Source organism: Homo sapiens, chromosome 3, assembly GCF_000001405.40.
Source record: "Homo sapiens chromosome 3, GRCh38.p14 Primary Assembly".
In the NCBI taxonomy this organism is placed as follows: domain Eukaryota; kingdom Metazoa; phylum Chordata; class Mammalia; order Primates; family Hominidae; genus Homo; species Homo sapiens.
Window position 1 is genome coordinate 185,939,175 of NC_000003.12, and position 16,664 is coordinate 185,955,838.

The 16,664-nt window shown below is 43.3% G+C and overlaps 3 annotated features.

Moving 5' to 3' along the window:
* Nucleotides 9,862-10,804: an enhancer, noted in NCBI's record as "NANOG-H3K27ac-H3K4me1 hESC enhancer chr3:185666824-185667766 (GRCh37/hg19 assembly coordinates)". NCBI's record gives its function as "activates a minimal SCP1, AML or CMV promoter by ChIP-STARR-seq in naive H9 embryonic stem cells {active_cell/tissue: H9 hESC(naive)}" and the evidence as "EXISTENCE:reporter gene assay evidence [ECO:0000049][PMID:30033119]".
* Nucleotides 10,805-11,747: an enhancer, noted in NCBI's record as "NANOG-H3K27ac-H3K4me1 hESC enhancer chr3:185667767-185668709 (GRCh37/hg19 assembly coordinates)". NCBI's record gives its function as "activates a minimal SCP1, AML or CMV promoter by ChIP-STARR-seq in naive H9 embryonic stem cells {active_cell/tissue: H9 hESC(naive)}" and the evidence as "EXISTENCE:reporter gene assay evidence [ECO:0000049][PMID:30033119]".
* Nucleotides 13,662-14,185: an enhancer, noted in NCBI's record as "H3K4me1 hESC enhancer chr3:185670624-185671147 (GRCh37/hg19 assembly coordinates)". NCBI's record gives its function as "activates a minimal SCP1, AML or CMV promoter by ChIP-STARR-seq in primed H9 embryonic stem cells {active_cell/tissue: H9 hESC(primed)}" and the evidence as "EXISTENCE:reporter gene assay evidence [ECO:0000049][PMID:30033119]".

The following is a 16,664-nucleotide window of genomic DNA, read 5'->3' on the forward strand; positions in this document are numbered from 1 at the left end:
TGTGCTAGAACCGTTAAACACAATTAGAAAAAATGATTGTAAGTGCCAGAGGCATGTATAACTACAGGGGTGTCACAAGGAGGGAAGATTAATTCTGCCATTTCGTAAGAGAATATAGTTGGATTATAGTGAGAAGAGCCCAAGACCAAGTCGGATACTTTCTTTCTTCTTTTTTTTGAGACGGAGTCTTGCTTTGTCGCTCAGACTGGAGTGCAACGGCGCGATCTCGGCTCACTGCAACGTCTGCCTCCCGGGTTCAAGTGATTCTCCGCCTCAGCCTCCGTAGCAGCTGGAATTACAGGCGCCTGCCAACACGCCAGGCTAATTTTTTGTATTTTTTATAGAGACGGAGTTTTGGCATATTGGCCAGGCTGGTCTCCTGGGCTCAAGCGATCCTCCCACCTCGGCCTCCCAAAGTGTTGGGATTACAGGCGTGAGCCACTTCCCCCAACCCCCAAGTCGGATACTTAATTCCTCTACACTTCAGTCTCCCCATCCATTGAAAAGGTGGTACCTGGCTGATGAGGCACTTTGATACTGGTAAAGGGTCATTTGATTTTTTTTTTTTTTTTTTGAGACAGGGTCTCTCTGGCTCTGTCGTGCAGGCTGGAGTGCGGTGGCTCATTGCACCTCCCAGTCTCAAGTGTTCCTCCTGCCTCAGCCCCATATCCCCAACTCCTGATTTTTTTTAACAGCTTTATTGAGATACGACTCACCTACTATGCAGTTCCCTTATTTAAAGTGTACAGTTCAAATGGCTTTTATTCACAGAATTGTGCAACCATCACCACAATTTTAGAGTAGTCTCATCACATTAAGAAAAGAAACACTCATTAATAGTCATTTTGCATCCCTCCTCCTCTCCACTCCTCACAACCCTCCCAGTCCTAGGCAATCACAAATCTTTCTTTCTCAATAGATTAACCTATTCAGGACATTTTATATGAATGGAATCATATGGTATGTATCTTTTGTAACTGGCTTCCTTGGCGTACGTTTTCACGGTTCATCCATGTTGTAGCATGTACTACTATTTCATTCTTTTTCATTGTCAAGTTATATTCAGTTGTATGGATATATGACATTTTATTTATCCATTCATCATTTAATAGACATTTGGATAGTTTCCATTTTTTAACTTATGAATAATCCTGCTGTGAACATTCATGTACAAATTTTTGTACGAGCACATGTTTTTATCTCTCTTAGGTATACACCTAGGAATGGAATTGCTGGATTGTATAGTAACCCTACGGTTAATTTGGGGGGAAACTGCCAAACAGTTTTCCACAGTGGCTGCATTCATTTTACATTTCACACTGCCACCAGCAGTGTATGTGGCTTCCAATTTCTCCACATCCTCACCAATACTTGTTATATTGTATTAAAAAAAATTGACCAGGCGTGGTGGCTTATGCCTGTAATCCCAGCACTTTGGGAGGCTGAGGTGGGCGGATCACCTGAGGTCAGGAGTTTGAGACCAGCCTCAACATGGCGAAACCCCGTCTCTACTAAAAATACAAAGTTAGCCGGGCGTGGTGGTACATGCCTGTAATCCCAGTTACTCGGGAGGCTGAGGCAGGAGAATTGCTTGAACCTGGTAGGCGGAGGTTGCGGTGAGCCAAGATCGTGCCATTGTACTCCAGCCTGGGCAACAAGAGCAAAAATCTGTCTCAAAAAAAATTATAACCACTCTAGTGGGTTTAAAGTGGTATCTCGATGTGGTTTTGGTTTGCATTTCCCTAGCGATAATGATAATGCTTTCATGCGTTTATTGGTGATTTGTAGATCTTTGGAGAAACGAATATTCTGATACTTTGCCCATTTTTAATTGGGTTATTTATCTTTTTATTATTGAGTTATAAGAGCTTGCAATTTGGCTCTTGTTTGGTAAAATAGTCATCCAGAACAGAATCAATATTTGAGGTACCTGAGATCCAGAGATTTGGTGATGACTCAAGTGTCAAGTGACTAAATAACTTCTGAATGAGCTGTCCCCTTTTTCTGAGAACACCTGTACTCCCAACACACACCTAAACCTGGACTCCTACTCAGATCTCTGGCCTTATCTTACTTTTTGGCTTAGATTAGATCTCTTGTTTATACATTCTTATGGCACCCCTTGACATTCATATTACTCACAACTATAATTAAAGAATAATAATTATATAATTATTTTATTTTCATTATTATTTCTTTGTGGGTTTTTTTTTTTTTTTTTGAGACAGAGTCTCGCTCTGGCGCCCAGGCTGGAGTGCAGTGGCGCGATCTTGGCTCACTGCAAACTCCGCCTCCTGGGTTCAAGCAATTCTCCTGCCTCAGCCTCTGGAGTAGCTGGGGCTACAGGCGCCCGCCACCACGCCCGGCTAATTTTTGTATTTTTAGTAGAGACGGGGTTTCACTGTGTTAGCCAGGATGGTCTCGATCTCCTGACCTTGGGATCTGCCCGCCTTGGCCTCCCAAAGTTCTGGGATTACAGGCATTAGCCACTGCGCTCAGCCCTATTTGCATTATTATTTCTGTGAATATAGTTTTTATGTCTGTCTTCCACACTAGATAATAAGTTCCTTAAGGGCAGGGCCAGTGCCTCTTTTGACCACTGCCTTATACGTAGTGCTTGGCACACAGTAAGCCTTTAGTAGTACTTGTTGAGTGATTAAAAGAAAGCAACGTATGAATTTAGAATTGATTGGGTAGGCATCAGGGTGCCTTTAGAGGTCCCTGAGCAGGAGACTAACTTGCTAAAAGTAGGCAAGATTGTCCTGGCAAAGATAGGAAGGTCAGGCTGCAGGTCTTGTGTCATTCATGTCTGTGTCTCCAGCATCTAGCGCAGGGCCATGCTGTTGAATGAGTGGCCATGTGGGATATGGATCCAGTACTGTAAATATGAGGCAGTGAGGATTAGATTCCCAAGGCAGCAAGAATGAGGACTAAGCAGGGAGTAGGGAGACTATGAAAGGGTGGGCTTGACTGGCCAATGTGATAGGAATATGGGGAAAGGGATAGTCAGAAATGACTGTAAAAACCTTGAGCCCTAGGCTGAGTGAGGTGGCTCACATCTATAATCCCAGCACTTTGGGAGGCTGAGGCAGGTGGATCATCTGAGGTCAGGAATTCGAGACCAGCCTGGCCAACATGGTGAAACCCCGTCTCTACTAAAAATACAAAAATTAGCTGGGCGTGGTGGCAGGCACCTGTAATCCCAGCTACTCAGGAGGCTGAGGTAGGAAAATCGCTTGAACCTGGGCAGTGGAGGTTTCAGTGAGCCGAGATTGCACCACTGCACTCCGGCCTGGATGACAGAGTGAGACTCCATCTCAAAAAACAAAAACAACAACAACAAAAATGTCTAGTCCTGGTAGGGGAGATATATACAGAGAAAATAATGCACCCAACAGGGAATGCTGTCTAACAGGCTTACTCCTGTAGCTTAGAGCCAAGCCAGAGGCTGCACTCAAATTTGTTTGTTGTTGTCTCCTTCCAGAGTCATAGACTCTCTCCTCCAGCATTTCTTGTTTAATTTTCAACTTCTGCCCTGGGATTCACTAGTGCATTCTGTCTTTAGTGGGGTTTTTGTTTTTTTTGTTGTTGTTTTGTTTTGCCTTCTCTCATTTAGTCATTCAACATACTGGATAACAGGCAAGGAGCAGATCACAGATGACCATGTATGCCTAGCTAAGGAGTTCAGATTTTATTTAATGGGCAGTAGAGAAGTATTGAGGGGTGCTGAAAAGGTGAATTATACTTTCAATTTTAAGTTTGAGAAAAGTGGTGGCAGTGTGGTGCATGGGTTTGAGGAGTGATATGAGCAGGGAAGATTGGAGACCGGGAGCAGGTGAGGAGCCAGGCTTCTGTTCTGAGCTGTGCCCGGTGTACCTAGCAAGGGTCAGTAAGAGCTGAGAGCCGGGCATTGTGCTCTGTACACCCGAAGGAAGGGCCTCCTTTTTCACATTCACATGTCATCCTTTGGGCCAGTGGCAGCCAGGCCAGGGGCCCAGTTCCTAGACTCTTTCAACAGTCCAGACAAGGAATAAAAAGAGCAAGCAAGTGAGTGAACCTGACCTAAGGCAGTGGCCAATGAGGTTAGAGAGGATGGAGATGACTTGCTGTGCTAGTTGCTCCCAATTCATACTTTTTGCCTGCTCTGTGAAAACAGATCTGGAACCTTTCAATATTTTTCTTTCCCAGATGGCACAGAAGCTTTGTCAGAATTGGACAGGCATTACAGGAGGAAAGCTTTTACTTCCTGATTCCTGTGTGTGTGCCACAGGCTCCTGCATCACATGAGGCTTCCCCAGGGACCAGCTCCTGCAGAGCATAGCTCTCTCCAACACTGAGCTTCTGTAGTATGCTGACAGTGTTTCTAGTTTCCCGGCTCCTGCAGTGCCTGGCAGTCAGCAGCACCTAGTAGCCAGCAGCTGCCTCTAGAGCACCGGTTCCCACCCCTGGCCAGGTTTCGTAACATTTGCAGCTTCTTCAGTGTCTGGCTCCTGCAGTGTGTAGTTCCCAGCAGCAACCAGCAGAGGGCAGCCTCTCCTGGAGCCACATCAGATAGCTTTGTAGGTGAGATGCACCCCATAAACAACTGTCCCTGACACCTTAAAGGTTTCTGGAAAATCCCAGGGGCAGGTTTTCATGAAGTTCTGCCAGTGTGGCATCACGGCAAGTTTTCTGTGTTCCAGAGATCCATGGCTGTGCCCGCTCCAAAGTCTGAATCTGAGCTCTTGAGGGAAAAGGAGGTTCTTCTTGGGCACTCTATCTCAGACCTAGAGCTAGGGCTCCTCCTTGTACCTGCTATTCCCATATTATTAAGAGTTCTCTTTACTTCTTACTAGTTAATCCGTCATTACCCCATCCTCACTTACCTCAGTACCCCTATTACTAACTTATAGTTAGTAATTACATATATGTAACTTCCCCTATTCAAATTACTGTGTATTTGATCTCTCCTGATTGGAGACATCAGAATTCAGAATGGACAGACTGATTCAGAATTTTTGCCAGGAGTGGTCTCTCAAAATACTACTGAGATGTGGAGGTGAAGGAGAAACGGAAGCTAGAGTAACTGCTCATCATTTTATCCCTCCTGACCTCATTTTTCTTCCTAGCTAATGGTATCAGTGGTACCATCTCCAAATGGAGACATCAAGTGAGTACTGGTTAGAGCAGTCTGGGGCTCAGGGGATAGCTGGGTGGAATATACGGAAATGAAATTACTAGTATAGAGATAGTCAAGGAAACCTTACTTTGTGTAAGTGAGATCTTCAAGGGAGTGGTGTAGGAGTGCTCTCAGAGAACTAATGCATCTCTGTATAAAAAGTGACTGAACACCCACTCACTACTTGGAAGTATGAATGTGGAAGTCAAAAACTTTGAGACTTCATTAAGGCAGGTCTTCACGAACCAGCTTAGGACTGAGTGGAAATTAAGAACAACATTGAGTTACTATGCTGACTATGGCTACGTATTGTAGATAATTGAGTTGAAACAACCAATCACTTTCAATGTTCTGAACCCTAAAAAAGGTGGATCACCTAAGGTCAGGAGTTCGAGACCAGTCTGGCTAACATTGTGAAACACTGTCTTTACTAAAAAATACAAAAATTAGCCGGGCGTGGTGGTGCATGCCTGTAATCCCAGCTACTCGGGAGGCCAAGGCATGAGAATCACTTGAACCTGGGAGGCAGAGGTTGCAGTGAGCAGACATCGTACCATTACACTCCGGCCTGGGTGACAAGAGTGAAACTCTGTCTCAAAAAAAAAAAAAAAAAAAAAAAAAAAGAGAGAGAGGCCGGGTGCGGTGGCTCACACCTGTAATCCCAGCACTTTGGGAGGCCGAGGTGGGCGGATCATGAGGTCAGGAGATCGAGACCATCTTGGCTAACTCGGTGAAACCCCGTCTCTACTAAAAATACAAAAAATTAGCCGGGCGCCGTGGCGGGCACCTGTAATCCCAGCTACTCAGGAGGCTGAGGCAGGAGAATGGCATGAACCCGGGAGGCGGAGCTTGCAGTGAGCCGAGATAGCGCCACTGCAGTCCGGCCTGGGCGACAAAGCAAGACTCCTTCTCAAAAAAATAAAAAAAAAAAGAGAGAGAGAGAAGAATGAAATAAAAGACTTTCTCCAGATACTTAAGATAAATCTGGGAAAGAGAGGAAGAGAATAAAAATTAGAATACCCAAATAACAAAATTTAGAGCTCAAACATTAAACATATGAAGAAAATGTTTTGTCTTAGAATTATTATTATGTTACTAATATAGGGTGGGGATAAAAATTCAAACAATAAGAAATGTGCAAAGTGAAAAATGCAAACCCTATTTTCTATCCTCTCTTTCCCAGTCTCGCTCCTCAGAGGTCACCCTAGTTAAAAAATGTAGTGCATAACCTTCTAGACCTTAGATAGATAAATTTAAATTTTTATTTTTATTTTTTTATTATTTATTTATTTATTTTGAGACGGAGTCTTGCTGTCTCCCAGGCTGGAGTGCAGTGGCAAGATCTCGGCTCACTGCAAGCTCCGCCTCCCGGGTTCATGCCATTCTCCTGCCTCAGCCTCCCAAGTAGCTGGGACTACAGGTGCCTGCCACCACACCCGGCTAATTTTTTGTATTTTTGGTAGAGATGGGGTTTCACCATGCTAGCCAGGATGGTCTCGATCTCCTGACCTCACGATCCACCCGCCTCGGCCTCCCAAAGTGCTGGGATTACAGGCATGAGCCACTGAGCCCAGCCTTAAAATTTTCTTTTCATAAACAAATGGAATCATGCTATACATATTTTTTATTTTTTAATTTTTATTTATTATTTTTTTGAGACAGAGTCTCACTCTGTTGCTCAGGCTGTTGTCTCGAACTCCTGACTTCAGGTGACCCACCCGCCTCAGCATCCCAAAGTGCTGGGATTGCAGGCATGAGCCACCATGCCCCGCTCATATTTTTAAATTTTAACATGGTATTCTGTAACTTGCCTTTTTCACTTAGCAATCTAAAATATGCTAAATATTGTTCCACGTCAGTACACATAGATTTATCTCATATTTTAAAACAGTTGTATGGTATTCCGTTGCAAATATGTGCCATAACCTATTATACCATTCCTATTTATGGAGACCTGGAGGGTGAGAAGCCAGCCATTTAAAAAGCAGAGAAAACTGTGTTCCTGGGAAGGGATTAGCAAGGTCACAAAGGCACTGGGGTGAGGATGTTTGTCGGGTTCCAGGAACAGAGAGACCCAACCATGGGATCCCAGTGGGTCCATCTGAGGACCAGAGACTGTGGTACAGAGAGCAGGGCTTGGACTTCCTGGGGTTGTTTCCTGCCTCCACAGTAGCTCTCTGAGAGACCCTGGGCAAGTGTAACCTCTGTGCCTCTGTGGCTTCATCTGTGAAATAGGAATGATAATAATACCTACTTCCTATGCTTGTTGTCAGGATCCAAAGAATTACTATTTTACATAAAAAGCCCTTAGAACAATGTCTAACTCATAATAAGTCAGCAGTGATTATGCAGGTCATGGAAAGGATGTCAGATGTTATTTAAGTGCAGTGGGGGCTGGGCACGGTGGTTCACACCTGTAATTCCAGCACTTTGGGAGGCCAAGGCAGGTGGATGGGTCACTTGAAGTCAGGAGTTCGAGACCAGCCTGGCCAACATGGCGAAACCCCGCCTCTATTAAAAAAATACAAAAATTAGCCAGGCGTGGTGGCAGGCACCTGTAACCCCAGCTACTCGGAAAGCTGAGGCAGGAGAATCTCTTGAACCCGGGAGGCAGAGGTTGCAGTTAGCCAAGATCGTGCCACTGCACTCCAGCCTGGGCAATAGAGTGAGACTTTGCCTCAAAAATAAATAAATAATTAAATAAATGCAATGGGAAGCTATCGAAATGTTTTAATTAGGGGGAATGTCTTGACTCAGTTTTTATTTTTATAAGATTACATTCCCCATTGGATGGAGAATGGGTTGGAAGGAGGTAAAAGCTAGGATACCAGTTAGGAAGCTATTGCATTTGTCCAGGTAAGAGACCATTGCAACACAGTAATAGCAAAGGAGATAGAGAAAAAAGGGCAGTGGTAGATCTATTTTGAGTCCAGAATTGAGTGGACTTGTAATAGGGTAAGGGGATGGAGATGTCAAGAACTCAAGAGGGTCTATGGTGCCCCATACTGAGATGGGGAAACTTGAGGAAGAAGGAGTTTGGGCAGGGCTAAAGGGACAAGAGTTTGATTTTGAATTAAGTTTGAGATGCTTTGAAACATCAAAGTAGAAGTTGTCAAGTAGGCAGTTGAATATACAAATATAAAACTGGATATTCTTTAAAATCTTATTATACATTTGGAAGTTATAAATCATATTTGCTTTCATCCATGAATTTTTATTTAACATGGAGTAATTAAGTGACTAATTATACACTGAGCACTGAATTTTTTTGTTGGCAATGGAATGTTGTAATTGGCTTTTTTGTCCTGATTATGAAAGTGATGTTATATCTTGCATGTATAATACTGGCTGCATAATATTCTACCATATGGCTGTACATAATTTATTTAATCATTTTCTTTGTTTTTTCTAGTTTTTCAACATTTTAAATAACAAAATTGAGTATTTTTGTATATAAATTTATATCTGAGTTTTAAACTTTTTTGCTTAAGATAGATTCCTAAAAGAAGAATACTTAGAGAAAATACTTTGTCAACAAGTATCATCTTTTTTAGGACTTTTGAAACATATTGTCAACTTACTTTCCAGAAAAGTTGCATTAATTTACACTCCTAGTAGCAATGACTGTTCACTACACCATTGCCATCATAACTAAAAAGTTTTTTAATAGGTGAAAAATAGCATTTTGTAGTTTTAATTTGCATTTCTTTTACAAGTGACATGGATCATCTCCGCTAATCCCTTACTGCTTTTACCATGAAATGATGATGGCTGTGGTTCTCCCTGCCTGCTGTGCTCTCTCCACCCACACTATCTCCTTCACCTGGTTGATTCCTACCCATTCTTCATCTTTCATCTCCAGTGACACCCCTCAGTATTGACTGCCTTCCTCTTGCCTCCAATAATATGTCTGATTTTTTTGATAGATGTTCTCATAGACTTGTGATCTTCTGAGCCACTTCTTTCTACTTGAAATTATATATTTACTAATGGAATTGTTCAATTAATGCTTATTCCCCCAAAACTCTAAGCTTCAGGAAGGTAGGAATCTTTTGCTTATTGCTGAATTTCCATTCAATAAACGGTTGTGGAATGAATGAATGCATGAAAAAAATGAATAGGAAGTAGGAAGGGAAAGGTACTATGATTGGCTAAGCGGGGTCATGTGTCTACCCCTCTTCCTTGGAGGCAGGTCTATTACTGGAATAAACAGTGACACAAATACAGTTAGTAAGAAATCATTGTGAGCTGAGCAGCTATTCCGATTTGTGTCAGCCACAAGAAGTTTAAAATTTTTCTGTACTCAGACCTACAAATATTCTTTGTTAAAATTTTATTACATTTAGGCTTAGAATGTCTTTTCTCACTCTGAGATGACATGTATCCTTACATTTTCCTCTAGGTTTTAAAAAGTGATTTCTTTTAAACATTTGACAGCAGTTGGGAAGTTCTCACTTCGAAAACACTGGAGAAACCACAGAAAACAAGGTTCAGTGCAGGAACGAATTTTCTGAACTGAACAGAAGAGAAAGAGGATGACAAATTTGATATAAGACATTGTCTTTTACTGATTTTCTATGGTCAAATGGAATGTCTTAATGTTAATATTGTCCTCGCCAGAACTTTTTTGCTTAAGATAGATTCCTTAAGCAACTTTTTTGCTTAAGATAGAATATTTATGGGGCCAACACCATTAAAAGAAAACCCAAAGAGTGGACTGAGTTTTTAAAAAAAATGTAACACAGGCCGGGCACAGTGGTTCATACCTGTAATCCCAGCACTTTGAACAATCAGGGATGGAGGATCACTTGAGCCCAAGAGTTCAAGACCAGCCTGGACAACAGTGGGAAACCCCATCTCTACACTGAAAAAAAAAAAAGGCCAGGTGCAGTGGCTCATGCCTGTAATCCCAGCACTTTGGGAGGTCAAGGCAGGCGGATTACCTGAGGTCAGGAGTTCGAGACCAGCCTGACCAACATAGTGAAACCCCATCTCTACTAAAAATACAAAAATTAGCCGGGTGTGGTGGCCCACGCCTGTAATCCCAGCTACTCGGGAGACTGAGGCAGGAGAATTGCTTGAGCCAAGGAGACGGAGGTTGCAGTGAGCTGAGATCGTGCCACTGCACTCCAGCCTGGCTGACAGAGCGAGACTCTGTCTCAAAAAAAAAAAAAAAAAAAGTAACACAGATATTCACAGACAACAGCAGTATGACAAGGTTAAAGGTCACATGACCAGTTATAAAAGAGTTTTCAATGCTGAACTAGTTAAAACCCTGCCTCCCATCCCCAGTCAGCCCAACCCTTCCTGATTAGTCTAGGGAGTCCTTAGAGAGATGCTTGCTTTCTCCTTTTGGCACTTCTCTACCACTGCCTGCCACTACCCTGGGAATTGGGGGCTCTAATTCAGACTGCGTGGCTTACTTCTAAGTGTCTTAACGGAGACTGTGCTGATATTGTTCTTCTATTTGATACCTGTCAGGCCTCTGAGCCCAAGCCAAGCCATCGCATCCCCCGTGACTTGCACGTATACGCCCAGATGGCCTGAAGTAACTGAAGAATCACAAAAGAAGTGAATATGCCCTGCCCCACCTTAACTGATGACATTCCACCACAAAAGAAGTGAAAATGGCCGGTCCTTGCCTTAAGTGATGACATTACCTTGTGAAAATCCTTTTCCTGGCTCATCCTGGCTCAAAAAGCTCCCCCACTGAGCACCTTGAGACCCCCACTCCTGCCCGCCAGAGAACAAACCTCCTTTGACTGTAATTTTCCTTTGCCTGCCCAAATATTATAAAACGGCCCCACCCCTATCTCCCTTCACTGACTCTCTTTTCGGACACAGCCCGCCTGCACCCAGGTGAAATAAACAGCCATGTTGCTCACACAAAGCCTGTTTGGTGGTCTCTTCACAGGGACGTGCATGAAAATACCCTCTCTATTAAGGATTTTTTTTTTTTAGGTACTTTTGTTGTAGCTCCTCTCAATTAAGTCTTTTTTTTTGAGACGGAGTCTCGCTCTGTCGCCCAGGCTGCGGTGCAGTGGCGCGATCTCGGCTCACTGCAAGCTCCGCCTCCTGGGTTCATGCCATTCTCCTGCCCCAGCCTCCCGAGTAGCTGGGACTACAGGCCCCCGGCACCACGCCCAGCTATTTATTTTTGTATTTTTTAGTAGAAACGGGGTTTCACAGTGTTAGCCAGGATGGTCTCGATCTCCTGAACTCCTGATCCGCCCGCCTCCGCCTCCCAAAGTGCTGAGATTACAGGCCTGAGCCACCGCGCCCGACCTTCTATTAAGTCTTAAACTGGCTACCAGTGTACTAGGAAATTTTGTTTGGTATAAGATATAGATCGTATTATTTTTCTCCATATAGATATCACCAGTTTTCCCAACATTGGGTATGAAATAACTTGTCCTTGGCTCCTCTGTGGTGCTACTTTTATTGTATATTTCCATATATGCACATGTCTATTTCTAAGCTCTCTACTCTTCCATTTGTCTACTTGACTGTGCCTGCAACAATATTGCTTAAAACATTTTATTACTAAGGCTTTATGGGCGTGTCATTAAAACTGGTAAGACGAGCCTCCCTTTGCAATTATCTTTTTGATGCGTCAGTTTGGTTAGTTGTTCAATGAAAATGAATCTAGGTGTTGCCAGGAAGGTATTTTGTAGATGTGATTAAAATCCATTACTCTGTTAAATTTAAGTGAGGGAACTTGTCCTAGATAAACTGGGTGTGCCTAATTCAATCAGTTTAAAGATCTAAAGAGCAGAGGTGGGGCTTCCCTAAGGAAGAAAAAATTAGTCCTGTGGACTGCAGAGTCCTGTCCCTGAGAATCCCAGCCTGCCTGTCCTGATACCCTGCTGTATGGATTTCAGACTTGTTGGGGGAAACCCACACAAATTCTGTGAGCCAATTTCTTGGAATAATTCTCTTAATATATATCTCCCATATAGGGAGGGTACTGTTTTTCTGTCTTAACGCCAATACACTTTCTTTATATTTTTTAAAAGATTGACTTAGTTATTTATGAAACTTTATTCTTTTAAATAAATTGTAGAGATGTTTATTGAGTTCCTCAAAAAATGTAAAATTTTGATTTTCTTTTTCTTTTTTTATTGATATATAATAGTTGTACATATTTTGGGGATCATATGGTATTTTGATAATTGCATACAATATGTAATGATCAAATTAGGGCAATTGGGATAGCCATCACCTCAATCATTTATCTTTCCTTTGTGCTGGGAACATTTCACATCTCTTCTAGTTATTTTGAAATATACAATAAATTATTATTAACTATAATTTTCCTACTGTACTGTATCGAATACTAGAACTTACTCCTTTTATCTAACTATATTTTGTTATCCCTTAACCAACTTGTCTTCAGCCCCCTCATCTCTTCCTCACCTCTGATAACCACTACTCTCTACCTTCATGAGAATGAGAATAACTTTTTTTTTTTAAACACGGTCTCACTCTTTCACCTAGACTGGAGTATAGTGGCGTGATCTCAGCTCACTCCAACCTCCGCCTCCCAGGCATGTCTTTCTATGCCTGCTTATTTCACTTAATATAAGGAACTGGATCTCCAGTTCCATTCATGTTGCTGCAAATGACATGATTTTATTATTTTTTATGGCTGATTAGTATTCCGTTGTGTATATATACCACATTAAAAAAAATCTATTCATCCACTGATGGATGCATAGGTTGTGGCCCTCTTGGAGCTTGTCTTTATTTAGAATTGTGATTTTTTTTTTTTTTTTGAGACAAGGTCTTGCACTGTTGCCCAGGCTGAGTACAGTGCATGATCACGGCTCACTGCAACCTCAGCCTCCCAGGCACAAGCATTCCTCCCACCTATCCTCCCAAGTAGCTGGTGATATGGGCAGGAGACAAGGAAATACTGGGTAGAAGAGGGCGGCTCCCTGGCAAAGGCCCTATCCTCAAGCCTGGATACCTGCAGCCCTAAATGAGAACAGGCATTTCTGTTTTTGTGTCCCAGAATTTGCCTTTTAGCCTGCCAGGTCCCCTATCCTGCCCCAATAGAAACCCCAAACCTCAGGCTCCAGAGGAGACCGGCAGAGCAGCAGAGCAGCAGACCAGCAGACCAGCAACAGCAGAACAACCAGGCAGAGAAAGGGAGAAGAGGCGGGACATCTGGATGCCGAGGGGAGTTTGGCCAGGGGCCGTTGGAGAAGAAGCCAGCTGCTGGAAGAGGCCAGCTGCTGGGAAGATCACTTTCCCACTCCATCCCCCCTTTCAGCTCCCCACTCATCTTGCTGAGAGCCACCTCCACCACTCAATTAAACCTTGCACGCAGCTGGGCACAGTGACACATGCCAGTAATCCCAGGACTTTGGGAGGCCGAGGTGGGCAGATCACCTGAGATCAGGAGTTTGAGACCAGCTTGGCCAATATGGTGAAACCCCGTCTCTACTAAAAATACAAAAATTAGCCTGGCTTGGTGGCAGGCACCTGTAATCTCAGCTACTTGGGAGGCTGAGGCAGGAGAATCACTTGAACCCGGGTGGCGGAGGTTGCGGTGAGCCGAGATTGCGCCACTGCACTCCAGCCTGGGTGACAGAGTGAGATTCCACCTCAAACAAACACACACACAAACAAACAAAACCTTGCACTCATCCTTGGAGCCTGTGTGTGATTCGATTTTTCTGGAACACTGGGCAAGAGCTCGGGATATGGAAGTCTGTTACACTGGCCCTCTGCCCTTGTGTTAAGAGCTGATTAACACTCAAGCCGTCTGCAGACAGCAAAGCTGAAAGAACTTGGTAACACTGGAGTTGCAGGCACCCACCCCTAGACACTACTGCAGGGCTGAGAGCCCAAAGCACTTGCCCTGGCCTCTGCACCTGCCTGTTTGCATGCTCCCCCTAGGGATTTGAGCTGCAAGGTGACGGAACAGGCAAGTTGCATCCCTGTCGCACATCCTGCAAGGGGAAATCAGGGAACTCTCCCACTTCCCTGGGACTATAGGTGCAAGCCACCATACCTGGCTAATTTTTCTGCATTTTTTTGTAGAGATAGGATTGCATCATATTGCCCAGGACGGTCTCGAACTCCTGGGCTCAAGCAATCTGCCCGCCTCAGCCTCCCAAAGTGCTGGGGTTACGGGTGACAGCCACCACGTCTGGCCTTATTTCTCTTTATAAATGAATTGTTGTTTTTTGAGCACTACCATTTTAGGCAGGAGGTGGGAGAAGATAAAGTGTGAGAGGCTGGTTGGGGTAGCAAACTAGGCTGATAGTGAAAAAAATGTGTTGAGAAATAACAGCAGTTAATTTCTTTTGAATGTGTCACATAGATTAAGTGGTTTAATTTTATTGAATCCTCACTACAACTATATGAGGTAAATACCATTATTACACCCATTTTACATAGATGAGGACATTGAAGCTGGGAGGAATAGTAAAACTTGCCCAAGGTCACAGCCTGTAGGTGGCAGAACTTGGTGTTAAACATTAAACCCAGGACTGTCATGCTCAGAAGCTTTAATCTTTATGATATACAGCCTTCCAGTTCAGAGTAAGCTGGGCTGAGCTAATTATACTTGGAAGTAAGAGATAAACGTAGGCAAACGATTATACAGCTGAATGTTAGGAGTCGAGAATCCTGCTCATTTTCTTCATTGGACAGACCCCAAAAGCAGACTTTTTTTTTTTTTTTTTTTTTGAGACGGAGTTTCGCTCTGTCGCCCAGGCTGGAGTACAGTGGCGCGATCTCGGCTCACTGCAAGCTCCGCCTCCCGGGTTCACGCCATTCTCCTGCCTCAGCCTCCCGAGTAGCTGGGACTACAGGCGCCCGCCACCACGCCCGGCTAATTTTTTGTATTTTTAGTAGAGATGGGGTTTCACTGTCTTAGCCAGGATGGTCTTGATCTCCTGACCTCGTGATCCGCCTGCCTCGGCCTCCCAAAGTGCTGGGATTACAGGCGTGAGCCACGGCGCCCGGCCCAAAAGCAGACTTCTTTCATCAAAGGGACCCTAAATAAACACCTTGACCTCAGCTCAACAAACTGTCAAACTTAAAAAAGGAAAAAAAAAAAAAAAGGGCATCATTGATGATGCTCTGCGAGCACAGTGCTTTTTTTTTTTAATGGTTTGTAAGTTTAGTGGGTTTGTCCTGGTAGAGATTAGCCTAGGTAAAAAGCCACAGCTTCTTGCTCGCAGTGTAAATGTTTATAGACTGGTGCTTGCTCATTTTAGCTTTTCTTGTTGAGTCACTTATACGTCTCATTTTTCCTTACAGATTATTTCAAAAATAAACTTTTTACTGAAGTTGAAGATACATATAGAAAATTACATACATCTTAACTGTAAAGCTGAATAAATTTTTACAAAATGAATGCACTCATGCAGTCAATACCCAGATTAAGAAATAGAACATTACTAGTCCTTCTGAAGTTCCCATTAAGCGTCTTTCAGTAACTTTCCATCAAAGTATCCATTATTCTGATGTCTACGCTGTGGATTAGTTTTTCCTGTGGTTGAGTTTTATAGAAATTGAATCATGTGCTATACACTCCTTTACTTTTTTTTGCTCAACATTATATTTGTGAGATTCTTCCAGGTTGTTGCGTGTTGCTAAAGTTAATTTATTCTTTTTGCTGTATGGTATGTCATTGTTTGACTATGCCACACTTTACCCTTCTAATCCTTAGAATTGGACGTTTGGGTTGCTTCCAACTTTTGGCTACCATAAGTAGTGTGGTCATGTCCTTGTAGACTTTTGATTTTTTTTTTTTTCAGTCAGCCTTTAAGATGTGCAGCTCATCATATCATGCTGTAATCAAGATGTGACAACAGTCATGTCATGTCATGCCACCCAGTCCTTTGGCTGTACCACCAATGTATTGCATAAAACCACTCGATTACTCTTAGGTAATATGTATGTGTGTACATGTTCATGTGTGTGTGTGTGCATGTACAGATTTTTTTTCCTTTACATCCTTGAATCACATTATATATGAAGTTCTCTATACTGCTGATGTAGCGGCTTCATTGTCTGGGGTAAATAGCTGGGATTTGTTGTCTCGCACCAAGATTAAAGACATGGACACACGCAAGGAGTCAGTTTAGGAGTAGAGGTTTAATAGGCAAAAAAAAGAGAAAGGAGAGCAGTTTCCTCTCTCTTACCAGACAGAGGGGCGTCTGAAAGGGAAAAGCTGGCCTGCGGTGGACCATAGCAGATTTTACAGGTAGGCTTGAGGAGGCAATGTATGATTTATGTAGGGCCCACAGATTGGTTTGACCAGGTGTGACATTTACCTAGCTTGTGGGGAAGGCTGGTCATCCCACCCTAATCTTATTATGCAAATGGGCTTTCCACTTGGCCAGTGCCATCTTGTCTGCTCCTTGCTGTATGCATGGCTGGCAAAGAGAAGGGAAGATGGATCTGCCATTTTGATCATGCGTAGTCCCAGGTAGCCTTTTCCTATTGGCACGACTGGCGACATTCACCTGTGCAAGTTTCCAGCTTG